This window comes from Homo sapiens, chromosome 5 (genome assembly GCF_000001405.40).
Source record: "Homo sapiens chromosome 5, GRCh38.p14 Primary Assembly".
Taxonomy (NCBI): Eukaryota; Metazoa; Chordata; class Mammalia; order Primates; family Hominidae; genus Homo; species Homo sapiens.
In genome coordinates, this window is record NC_000005.10 from 70,610,946 (window position 1) to 70,624,758 (window position 13,813).

The 13,813-nt window shown below is 37.3% G+C and overlaps 1 long non-coding RNA gene across 2 annotated transcripts in view; it reads right to left on the reverse strand.

Moving 5' to 3' along the window:
- Positions 1-5,864: 5,864 nt before the first annotated feature.
- The window catches only part of LOC107986355 (uncharacterized), a 102,717-nt gene continuing 94,768 nt past the window's right edge, over positions 5,865-13,813 (reverse strand). For both annotated transcript variants that reach the window (XR_001742421.3, XR_001742420.3), the window contains one exon: positions 5,865-6,505. This is a non-coding gene — a long non-coding RNA (uncharacterized LOC107986355). The remainder of the gene's footprint in view (positions 6,506-13,813) is intronic.

Below are 13,813 nucleotides of genomic sequence, written 5' to 3' on the forward strand. Positions count from 1 at the left end.
GAGCTTGGGAATCCTTGAAGCTAGGCATCCTGTGCATAGTCTCAAATATCACATTCAAGTCAAACCATTTATAATATAACCAATGTTTGTAATTCTATCCTGTTACAAAGAGAATAGATTTTTATTGAATTAATGCAAATAACTATGTTGCCATAAAATAAAAATATCAATAAGAGCTCTCTGAAGACTGCAGCCGCAGGTAGGAAGAAAAAATAAATATTTCCATTTTTATTTATAAAAGTATACTTTACCAAATTGCTGTATGCTATAGATAGCTTTTTAAAAGTTTTCTCAAATCTGGAAAACAAAAAATTTAAAAAAAACAGCAAAATGTTAAACAAAAAGTCACTCGAAAATATTGCCATCAGTTTGTTTAGTCCCATTCATTAAACTTATTCTACTTGATCTGGGTTAGATGTTTTAAGAAGCCATCGTTTCTTCATTAGAGTCCTGGAAATTCTTTCCCAGTCCAGTGGTATAATCTTAAACTCATAAGAAATCTAAATTCCAGCATACTTGTTAGAGTCCTTTTCATGAACCTCCTTGAAGAGGAAGTATTTTTCTTTATTCATTTTAATTTATTCTCTACAATACTTCATTAGGGAGTTCAATGATTTGCACTCAGAAGTTAAATAGCCAAGAGGCAAGCAAGTATAATAAACTTCAGAATTGGACTGAGGTTGTTGCACTGAAGGCCATGTAGTCTTTTGCTTCAGGGAAATAACAACAAAAATAACCAAAATGAACACATAGCTCCCTAGGCTTCTGAATCTCAGTAGAGAATAACATCAACATTTAATGAAATTGTAGATATTAACACATCATGGGAAAAAAGATACTGTGCAAAATATTATAATTAACACTTGGCACTTCTTATGTCTAGATTTTTATTATAAACAATAAAATATATGTAATATCTTAACTACAGACCTTTCATGTTGAAAGGGCATCTAACATAACTTGTTTTAACATTATGAAGGGAAAAAGTTTAGAAATTTCAAAGTGGAAACAATCCAACACTAACAAACTATAGTGATCAAAAGTATTAACTTTTAAAGAAAAACAAGGACAATTCATAAAAGTAGAACTACCATTTGATCCAGCAATCTTACTGGTTATCTACCCAGAGGAAAAGAAGTCATTACACAAAAAAGATACTTGCACATGCACGTTTATAACAGCACAATTAGCAATTGCAAAAATGTGGAACCAGCCTAAATGCCCGTGAATCAATGAGTGAATAAACTGTGGTATATATTTATGTGTGTGTGTGTGTGTGTGTGTGTGTGTGTGTGTGTATATGTATATATATATGCATATGTATATATATATATATGCATAAATACATATATGTAATGGAATACTATTCAGCCATAAAAAGGAATGAATTAATGGCATTCATAATAACCTGGATGGGATTGGAGACTATTATTCTAAGTGAAGTATCTCAGGAATGGAAAACCAAACATTGCATGTTCTCACTCTTAAGTGGGAGCTAAGCTATGCAGATGCAAAGGCATAAGAATGATACAGTGGACTTTGGGGACTCAAGGGAAAGAGTGGGAAAGGCATGAGGGGTAAAAGACTACAAATTGAGTTCAGTGTATACTGCTCGGGTGATGTGTGCACCAAAATCTCACAAATCACCACTAAAGAACTTACTCATGTAACCAAATACCTCATGTTCTCCAAAAACCTATGGAAATAAAAAATTTAAAAAATTACAGAAAGGGAATGTATTATGAGACAAGCCACGTTTATAGACCAAAGCATGCTCATAGCTAGGGATGAAACAAACCACAAACCAAGCCAGCAAAGTTGGGTTGATTCCTTGAAAAGAATGGTTACCTATTGTCCAGATTGAGTAGCCCAAAGACAGAGGAAACACTGAGCGTAAAACATTCCCTTTTTTTTAAACCTACCACTCACACCACATGCACTGATCACTCTCATCACTGCTTTGGTAAAGCATGTAGGATGCAGTTCAGTTTCAATTTGGAGCTGTTACCTCCCCAGGCAAAGCTGCCACACAGATGATCCAGGCTTGGTGTTTTTCCTGAGAGCCACCTGCCACACATTTTCATAAGGTGACCATGACTATGCACATCCAGGCTACTTCCTGACTAGGCCCTGTTCAGGAAGCATCCTGAGGTGTCCATTCCTCGTGGAGCCAAATAGTTCCCTTGGTTGACTCCTGAGTCCCCTTGGCAAGCCAAGCAGAATTCAAGCATTTCTACTGCTAGCCTTGTGTGGGAGCATGAGCGAATGTAAAGGGAGCAAGGCTCTTCAGTCCATAAACCACAGCCTACTTCGGGGTGGTGCTGGACCAGCCCTATTCTTGGGTACTGAATTTCTTTTTCTCATTTGTTGGGATTTTAAATTTTCTATTTATTTTCTTAAATGGCAGGTATCCTACTGCATCTTCAATAAAATAAAATATATACATATATATGTTGTACACTGGAGAAAACAAATAGGGGAACAGTTTGATAGTTTAGCCCCATTTTTTGCTTTTATTTAACCTTTAGAAGTAAAACACAATTATTAAAACAGAATGCTTGAGCAGTAATAAGCGTAGCCCTATGTATCAATATTATTGTACAAATTGGATGTGGGTGCTTAACCCAGAGCTGACCACCCTGATAATAATCCAGAAAAAAACCATTGTTACATCTGTTTGTAACAAGACATTTATTATTCTCAGCACCAGGACATCATAAAATGACTCCTTGATCTTCATTTACTTCACCAAGGGAAACGTGGCAGGCTACAGAAACTCAGCACAGCAGTTAGTGGGGCTGTGCCCTGGGTGCCCTGATGTCACCCACATTTCCCTTGCATGTCTCAGGTCCTAATAAGCAGTGCAGGACAATGTTGAGCCAACCTACTCACCCGTGCCCATTCCTTCCCAGAAACTTAAAGGTGATCCCTATAATAGCACATATGTCCTTTCCCAAATTGTGTCTTTGCTCCCCTAACCCCATTCTTGGCAGAAGAAAAAACAAAACATCTCTTGACTTGAATATTTGCTTATTTTAGAAACCGACACAATCACCATAAACTTAAAAAAAAAATAAATCAAAATGTTGTTTTCACTGGGTTGACACCTATCTGCTTCAAGAATTCTCTAAGCATGTTGTTGAAAACCAGTGTAACATCTTTAGGATCTTTCTCCCAACTGACCAGTCTTCCTGTGAATCATTTCAGCAGTTCCTTTGTGGCAATGTTTACAAAGCATCTTCTAAGTCCTCTAATTCTATGAGCTTTGCTATCAAAATAGTGAAGAATAGGAAAGGGGGAGGAAAAAACTAGCTGACAGCTATTTGGAAATCAGCAACAATGTGAAAGAGAAATGTATCTCATGAAAGTTTGAAAGACATGGAATAAATGAGCTCCTTGGAAATTTGCCCTGGCGGAGTGAAGATTCCCACTTTATCTTCTTAGGCAAGATAAAGATCCACCTTATGTAATTACACAGCTTTGTTTAAGCATCCTGTAAAAGACTGAAAAATCAACTGTCTTCCTAACTCTACAGGCAAACTAGAAAAAGGATCTCCCTGCTTACTGGTCCCTCAGGATGTTTTCCTGAAAAGAAAACCAGCTTAGAGATACTGGATTTTCTTCTATGACAAAGTGTCCTCTTAAAGTCCAACCGAAACTTGTTTGCACACTTACACTTCTGAAAGCCTAGGTCCGACTATAGGGCTGATACCGGGAGAGAAGTGAAGTAGCTGGGTGGTGAGGAAGTGGTCTCTCCTTTCACATCTCTGTGCAGTCATGATATCAAGACCCCTTGTGGACATCTCTATTCCATTCCTCAGTCAGTGACACCACAGAGCTCTGTTTGATACCGGGAGACTTAATGCAGTAAAAGTGACAGAAAGTGCAACTGATAGTAGGATGAAAATTATAATCTTCAAGGATTATTGAGCCATGAGATCTGCAATGCTATCGTAGGGTTTCTGATCCTGATGTGGGTCTCTGTCCGGGATCCTTGAAGAAATTATGGCACCCACATCCAACCCTAACATAGCTTCCACTTATGAAACAAGGAGGTTGTAATCAACTCTTGGTATGTAATAAACTGGAAGTTCAAAAATGTAATTTAAAACAATCTAAAAGAATGTAGTGTTGGTCTCCATTGCACAGACTGCTAGGGGAATATATCAACTTGATTTGGGGAGGCTGTAGAGGTATATAGAGGAGTATATGGGTTAAACCTTAATGGATCATCAGTTTCAGAGAAGAAGCAATTTTTTATTGTAGCTGATGGCAAATGCTTTTACAAAAGAATGAAAGCAGTCGGTCCCTGTGGATGACAGACTTAGAGTGGCCATGGTTAAAAATCTCATGGAGTTTATTATACTAATAATGTAATTGACAAAGAAATTTGTTTATTTCTGTGGCATACAAAACTTGAAGATAATAACCAAGATTATGACCGATAACATGTCAGATTTTGAAGAATTCAATATAATTTTGTAACACATATCAATAACATTCTGAAATACAACTTAAAGAAGGTTTAGCACCACTTAGTATTTGACAATACTCCCTATATAATTTAATATATCAAGTAAGTCTCATTAGTTTAATATATCTCTTTACAATGTGAGATACACATTCTTTGATCTTTCCAGGGGTCCAAATGAGAAATATCAAAATTAACTTGAGGGCAAAAAGAGTTAATTTAAAATATTATTTTGGGAAGTTTGTCAAAAACATCAAACAGTTTAAAACACTTTATCAGAGTACGATAACAGGTAACCAAAATGAAAATTAAAAGATTTCAAAAAATAAATGTAGAAATTTACATAATTGTCAACAAAAACATAGCTTTTTAATACTGAGAACATTTACTTTTCTCTTTTTTTAACTTTTATTTTAGGTTCAGGGGTACACATGTGGGTTACTTACGCATTTATATAGGTAAATTGTGTGTCACGGGGTTTGGTGTATAGATTATTTCATAACCCAGATAATAAGCATAGTACCCAGTAGGTAATTTTTAAATTTTCATCCTCCTTCCTCCCTCCACTCTAAAGTAGGCCCAGTGTCTGTTGTTCCATTTGTGTCCATATGTACTCAATGTTTAGCTCCCCTTATAAGTGAGAACATATGGTATTGGGTTTTCTAGGATAATGGCCTCCAGCTCCACTCATGTTGCTGGAAAAGAGATGATCTCATTCTTTTTATGGCTGCATAGTATTCCATGTTGTATATCTACCACATTTCTTCATCCAGTCTACCACTGATGGGCATTTAGGTTGATTCCATGTCTTTGCTATTGTGAAAAGTGCTGCAATGAACATACACGTGCATGTGTCTTTATGGTAGAATGATTTGTATTTCTTTTGGTATATACTCAACAGTAGGATTGATGAGTTGAATGGCACTTCTGCTTTGAGTTCTTTGAGAAATGGCCACACTGCTTTCCACAATGGCTGAACTACCTTACATTCCCACCATCACTGTATAATCATTCCCTTTTCTCCACAACCTCACTAGCATCTCTTATTTTTTGAGTTTTTAATAATAGCCATTCTCATTGGTGTGAGATGGTATCTCATTGTGGTTTTGATTTGCATTTCTCTAATGATTAGTGATGTTGAGCATTTTGTCATATGCTTTCTGGCCACATGTATGCCCTCCTTTGAAAGTGTCCGTTCATGTACTTTGTGTACGTTTAAATGGGATTGTTTGTTTTTCACTTGTTGATTTTTTTAAGTTCACCAGATGCACTGTGCTGGGGTTCTGTGATAGTCCCTAATTGCTGTGCACCCTCCCAAGCCTGAGAGCAGCAGGAGGGAGGGTTGCGAGACAGCAAAAAGGTGGACTGCCTCTCTCTTTGGAAGCTGCATGCCGGAGAAGTGTAGAGCTGCTCCCAGCTGGAGAACTCAGGAGGACTAGGGTGGCCTCACTAGCATCCCAGGCTAGTGGGCCTTATCCTACAAGGTTCAGTGGTGGTGAGGTCTGCAGTCTATCACTGCTCAGCCCCATGGACTTGGCCCCTTTTCTGGGGAGCGTGCAAGAAAACTTGGCCTTCCCAATTGCTGGAGCTGCAGCCCCTGGTTTTGGGGTACCCAGGGAACAAATGCTACTGGGACTCCACACCTACCTAAGAAGCAGCTCTACCCAGACTCCACATGGCTCTCTGTTTTGGTCTGGAGACCCCAGCTGGGGTATCTCCTGAGCCCAGGGATTCAAAGGTTCGTGGCAGAAATATGCATCCCACGGGACTCTCACTCACTCACCATTTTCTTGTAGGGGGATTCCCCTGGGTCTGTGCCACTCCTGGGTGAATGGTTGATCTGTCTCACTCTTCTCCGTGATCCGAAGGTCACACTATGTCACTGATGAATCCTTATGTGTCCACCTGGATGTTCCGGTTGAAGAGCTAGTGTCTCACCACTCTTTCTGCTATTTGTGAGAGTGGCACACACTAGCTGCTTCTAGTCAACCATCTTGGCCCCACCTCACTCACTTTTCTCAAGTAATCAAAGACCTAGTAAAAGAGAGCATAAAGCATAAGAAATTACCTTGATAAACAAAAAATCTTGGTTTATTAGGCCAGTTATCTAAAAGGTAGAGAAAACATTTCACTATTTTCTATTAAGAGCAGGTCAATACTCAAAGAAAAGCTTGTTGTTTCAGCACAGGGGACAAATTTCAAGTTTTCCATTCCTGTACTTTTGATAATAATGCTCAAGTTTTCAGAATATTTATAAATAATTTCCTTTTAACTTTAGCCAACTTGGTCACACATAAAATTCTTTTCACAAGATTAATCTTCCACAAACTTTCTATAAATTTGTCATCCAGTTATCTTATTCAGTTTTTGTCTATATTTTTTCTCTTTTTCTTTTTGGAACAGTAAGACATTCTACTTTTAGACAAAAAATACTCTCTTTTTCCCTTAACAAAAACACAACCTCTTACTTATAACTTTCTTTATGTGTTTTCCTTCCCTCGCGTACAGATTTGTTTCCCTTCATTATTTCTAGTTTAAATTACTCTAATATTAATTTTAATTAACTCTTAGTAACCTTAATTTCTAGTGAAAATTAGTAAGCATTTTGAAGTGCATCATGTTAGTATTTTGCAGATGAACACCATCTCATAAAATAATTTTTATGCCTTTAATTAACAGGCCCAAATATGTTTAGCTTTTCCATAACATGTGAAACCAAGATGCCAAATTATGTATATTTTAAACTTCTGTTAAGCAATTGATATTTCAGTATTTTCCTTAGAAATGACTCAAATATTAAATCAGTAAAGTGTTACTTAATTTAATATAACATGATTTTAAGATTTCAAGTCACACTAAATTATTTTTGAAATTCTGACAACTTTATTATCAACCTTTTGTCAATGTATATTCACCTAATTCACTTGTTCTTAACAATTGTGCTTCAGTTCCTCCTTAAACACAACGATGAGTGGATTTATAGCTTTAAGACATTCATTATACATCTCAGTAATAGCAAGCTTGTTTCACCAGTAACTTTAGGTTTAAAAACTGTATCTGTACATTGTAATTAATGCTGACAATTCTGAAAATATTTGTTTTTATTTTGCCAACAAATTTTAAAACTAGCTTTGTCTGCCAAAGATTATTTCATCACATAAGCCAAAAGGCAATTGAGTTTCTGTTTTTCTGAGAGAATTCTTAGTTTAAACACTTATGTTTTCTCTGTAAGCCAATTAAGTAGAGCCGTTTATGAATTTTGGTAGAAAAAATTGTACATACGCACACACACACACACACACGTAGAAAAATACAGACAGAGGAAGAACTTACAACTTGCATTAAGAATTGTTATTTGCCTGGCTTGCAAGTAGTTTTACTCCCTCTTTCAGACTATCTGTCTTTTAATGATCTGTTCAATTGGCCCATAAACAAGTGTTAGTTAGGCCACCCAAAATTTGTACTTCCAAAGAGATGATTTTTAGGTGAAGGAATGTAGAAAATTTAAATCTCAAAGGTACAGAACTTAAACACCACTATTTGTTGAGATGAAAAAAAGCATATATAGGAAGCCTTCAGAATGAAATGGTCAAGGGTGAGTTTACACAGATAGATAGATTTAGGTCTCTTCCTTTTGCTTTGTGAAAGCATCTAGTGTTTTAGGTGTCAGAGAGGGAGATATCCTTACAAAGCAGAGATTATCATTACAGGTTTACATTTCTTACAAAGAGTTTCAAAATAAACAGGTAAATGCCAAAAACATATATTTTGGAGACGGATTAATTCACTAGTTGGTCTATTCAACTTAACTTGTTTCCTAATGAGATTAAATTCATGCACAAATAACCAAACCAAAAATTAAACCAAAAGAATACTCACCAGAAAGGATGTCCTTTACAAGAGCAGATCCCCCAAAATGTAAGAGTTCACTGAAAAGGTGGGAGCTCAAACCAAGAGAGGACTTATCTCGCAGCATAAAGACAACTTGTACAAGTGAAGATCACAATAGGCTCAGGTGAGTATCATACACAATTTCAAGTATCGCCAGATACTTGAAAGCCTTCCAAAGGCTTTCTTTGTTACTGTTTGGATAACAGTGCTGTAACTGTAAGTAACAAAGAAGGCTTGGAGCCTTTGCATCTTGCTTCTGACATTAGATTATGTCAACTTAAACAACAGAGATACTGACTCTCTAAAATAAAGAGTGGAGTGTATTCAGGAAATAGCAGTAAATTGCAATTTGAAATACACATGCTATGGTGGACCTTAGGCACCAAAGAAGCTGAGGGACTGTATTAGTTTGTTCTAGCACAAAGAACTACCTGAGACTTGGTAATTTATAAAGAAAAGAGGTTTAATTGACTCATGATTTCATAGGCTGTACAGGAAACATGATTGGAGGAGGCCTCAGGAAACTTACAATGATGGCAGAAGGCAAAAAGGAAGGAGGCACGTCTTACATGGCCGAAGCAGGGGGAAGAGGGCAAAGGGGAAATACCACACACTTTTCAACAAGCAGGTCTCATGAGAACTCACTATCACAAGAACAGCAAGGAGGAAATCCACCCCCATGATCCAATCGCCTCTCACCAAGCCCCTCCTCCAACATTGGGGATTACAATTCGACATGAGATTTGGGTGGGGACACAAATCTAAACCATATCAGGAAGGCAAAAATCTTAAAAGAGAAATTTTATGTAAGTTTTGTAATAAACCTCATGGGCCAGAGAAGCTTGTTACAAGAGTTGGCAAATACTCATTGATAATATTGGCTGTTGCTGGAGAGATGTCTTCATAGAATTATCATATCTAACATTTTCGTGGTTTTTGAGAGAACCATTGCAGCAGTTCTTATTATAGACATATGTACATGAAGGCCCCTCTTTCATGGCCTCCCAGCTTCATTTTTTTATGGTTTGATGTAAGTGACTCCATTTTGGTGCTCACAACTTCCACATTTCTCCCTTTTGGTTGAAATATTTTTCTGAAAGCATTTCACACTTAAAAGATATAGATTGGCCGGGCATGCTGGTTCATACCCGTAATCCCAGCACGTTAGGAGGCGGAGGTGGGTGGATCACCTGAGGTTGGGAGTTCGAGACCAGCCTGACAAACATGGAGAAACCCCATTTCTACCAAAAATACAAAATTAGCTGGGCGTGGTGGCACGTGCCTGTAATCCCAGCTACTCAGGAGGCTGAGGCAGGAGAATCACTGGAATCCAAGAGGCAGAGGTTGCAGTGAGCTGAGATCACGCCATTGCACTCCAGCTTGGGCAACAAGAACGAAACTCCATCTCAAAAAACAAAAACAAAAACAAACCAACAAAAAATGAAATAATTGTAAAAACCAACCATAGTTCTCAGTAATGATAGTTTCATTTCCGTCAGCTATTAGTAGAGTTAATTAACTCCTATCAACCTCACATTTTCCATTTAAAAAATACAGGAGAAAAAGTTTGATGTGGGTTTAATGAGAAAACTTATATAAAATAGATCTAACTACTATATTTATCACAAAACAGATGCACAAACTATGTTTTTTTCCTCTCACTTGTTCTTATTTTATATATCATTTTAATTGAGGAAATCATTGAGCATAATGTAACAAATATTTTCATAAGTTATTATAAAGAGGGTTTGAAGGACTTGTTAGAAAGTGTCTGGCAGTGGAAAAAACATCTGAATAGAAAAAGAAAATAGCATGTGAATGCTGAAATAGCGTATTAAATAGCTGCAACTCTAATATAATTTACATTTGGATTTTAGTATAGACAGAATACTTAAATTTATTTCTGCAGTCTTTTCAGTTGTTAAACATTTTATTGAACTCTTCATGTGCCTTTCAGATGTATTGTGCTTCAAGTGTGCTTGTACCAGCTTTTTCTGTTTAGAAATGCTTGAGTGTCTCCATTGTCAAAACGATCAGAAGGCAGTAATTGTATTTCCAATGTGAGGACAAACAATACTAGATATCCTGCGATCCTACATTGTAAAAAATATTCCCATCAAATGCCCCAATGGATAGCCACGTAAGTGATCATCTGTAATTATTTAGTCAAGAAATGAATATTTTACATGTAAATACTTTGAATGGCTTAATACAAACTAAATTTTTCAGAATGCAACCACTACGGAAATTGAAGAGAAAAAGTCTTTTTATTGTAGAAACTTCCCAGAGTCTTTCAATATTTACAAAAATTATGTTGCCAATGGCAATACCTTAGTTATTTGAATCACCAGTAGAACACACTATAAAAACATGCATTGTCACATCTGTACCCTGTCACATCCAGGATAACGATAATATTGAGATATATAACTATTTAGCCCTTATTTTAAAACATCAGGTAACAAGCATCAATCAATTTCTATCAAATGTTTCAACTTGGGTATTACAGCATAAGCAGAAATATACTGTTACCAATATCCCAGCCAATTTCTTTTCCTAATGAAACAATAAAACTGAGAATATAGAGACCATTTAGTAAAGCTGATATATATATATGTTTGCATATGTGTGTGTGTGTGTGTGTGTGTGTATATACATATAAATGTAATTAATACAGTAGATGAGGTCAAAGAAGCAAGTGATACACAACTTTTAATTTGGATGGGATGTCCTTGAAGATTCCTGTATTAGTCCTTTCTCACATTCCTATATGAAAATACCTGAGACTGAGTAATTTATAAAAGAAAGAGGTTTAATTGACTCACAGTTCCCTATGACTGGGGAGGCCTCAGGAAACTTACAATCGTAGTGGAAGGTGAAAGGGAGGCAGGCACTTTCTTCACAAAATGGCAGGAAAAAGAAGGATGGGAGGAGGAACTTGCCGAACAGTTGTAAAACCATTAGATCTCGAGAGAACTCACTCACTGTCATGAGAACAGCTTGGGAGAAACCACCTCCATGATTCAATTACCTCCACCTGGTCTCTCCCTTGACATGTGGGGATTATGGGGTTTACAATTCACCATGAGATTTTGAGTGGGGACACAGCCAAACCATATCAACTCCTAAATCTTAATACACTTTATTACTAGCTGATATGATTTGGATCTGTGTCCCTTACCAAATCTCATGCCGAATTGTAATCCCCAGTGTTGGAGGTGGGGTCTTGTGGGAGGTGACTGGATCATGGGGGCAGATTTCCCCCTTTGATGCTGTATCATGATAGCATCCTCATGAGATATGGTTGGTGAAAGTGTGTGGCACCTTTTCTCTTCCTCTCAGTCCTGCTTCTGCCTCGCAAGATTCGTGCTTCCACTTTGCCTTCTGCCATGAGTAAAATCTCCCTTTAGCCTCCCCAGAAGCAGATGCTGCTATGCTTCCTGTTCAGCCTGCAGAACTGCGAGCCAATTAAACTTCTTTGCTTTATAAATTACCCCATCTCAAGTGTTTCTTTATAGCAGCAGTGTGAGAACAAGCTAATACACTAGCCTTCTTGAATACATCTTAGCAAGCTCTCGAGCAGCGTAACCACATAGATTAGAGAAGGCCAAAACTGACAGATTCCCATCTTGACCAAAGTTTAATCATTCTTCTCCAGTCCCTCTTCTCAGGCCCAGTTTAACAAAGACGCCTGCTAAGCCAGTTCACTGAGAATCACTTCGCCCTGGATATCTTATCACTTTGGCATGCCTTTAGCAATAATGCAGTTTAGCAAGAACCCCGCTCCCCGCCACCCCACCCCCCGCCACCCTTAATATCTAATTAGTTTCTATCCACTGACTCACTCCCTCAGCTCTTTGCTTATAAATTTCCAGCTCCATGCTGGGAGAAATTTTAGTTCAATCTCTCTCTACTATAGCTATATTATTCCCCCATTGCTATAGTCCTGAATAGTCTTCCTTGCTATTTTTAACAAGCAACCAGTGTACACGTTTCCTTTTGACAAAACATAGTGTCCATATGTAGAGGGAAGAGGAAAGCTAACAAAATATAAAGTCATCCAAACCACACACACCTTGGACAAGCTTATCATGTGTGGGAATAAAATGCTGGAGGTGGGTTTGGCTTCCCAAAAAAAAAAAGTGTGTAGTTTGAAATTTCATATCAAGAACAGTTAAATTCCCAGATTCTTTATCATTACTGAATACCTTAGTAATTATTCTTCATTTAACACAACAGGAAATAGGAGATTTATTTTCTGGAGAGACTTGTCCAATTAAAGTGGGGATATGGTTGCTCCGTTGAGCAGAAATTTGGCTTATATAGACCCAAAGCTCAGAAAAAGAGTTATAGATCTAAAATGACAATCATTGAGACAATAAAGTCCATGGAAACCACGATGGGAAGCATCTACGTGGAAATAAAAAGTTGGATTTTCAGTAGAGAAATTGGTAACAATGTAAATTTCCTCTTAATGTCAGGTGAGAACTAATTCTGAAGTCAGAGGAGGAAAGTAGCCTACAACAAAGAGTAAGATCATCTTGACAGGATCAGGGAGAAAGATAATAGTTGCAAATGGAGACAGGTATATTGATTTAGTGCCAGGTAGTTGAAAGACTATGAGTATAAAGACTTATATTTTCTCTGTGTTGCAGTAGCAAAGTCATCTGCAGAGAGAGAGAAGTGAGAAGGGAGAAGAGAGTGTCAGAAATTAGAGGATTGTAGAGATTGAAAAAGTTATGTCAGGCACAATTGAAAACCCGGTTTCCAATGGTGATCATTGTCTTAAAATATTATCAGTTTGTTTTCTTGCATGGCATTCTTCAGCAGCAGTCATGGACTGAGAAATATGCAGAAATCAGATAGTTGAGTTCATCTAGAGAAGAGGTTGCAATGTGCTTCTAAAAAGGACAAAACCAAAAGCAACCGAGGGAGAGAGAGAGAGAGGGAGAAAGAGAGAGAGAAAAATGAAGATGTGAAAGGGGATAGGTCAAAACTCATTAATTTTTTTTAAGCAAAGGGCCAGATAGTAAATATTTTTATTTTGTGAGCCATATTGTCTCTGTAGGAAGTACTCAGTTCTCCCATGTTCTGCAAAAGCAACCATGGACAATAAGAAAATGTGGCTGCGTTCCAATAAGAATTTATTTAAAAAATAGGTGATGGATTGTATTTAGCCCAAGGGAAGCAGTATGTCAATTCTGGTTTTATGTTACTGGCAATTACATTTTAAAATATTCAGTAATTGAATCTACAATATCGATTCCCAACTATTGCTGCATATTAGTATCATAATAGAATGCCAGGTCCCAGAGACACTGGGTCAGCCAATCTCAATTGGGGCCAAGGCACTCATATGTATCTTTGGAACCTCCTCAGGCAATTCTAACATAAAGCCAGTGTTGAGAAGAGCCATTGTTAGTTTGCTTGTGGGAGTAACTGACCGCAGGA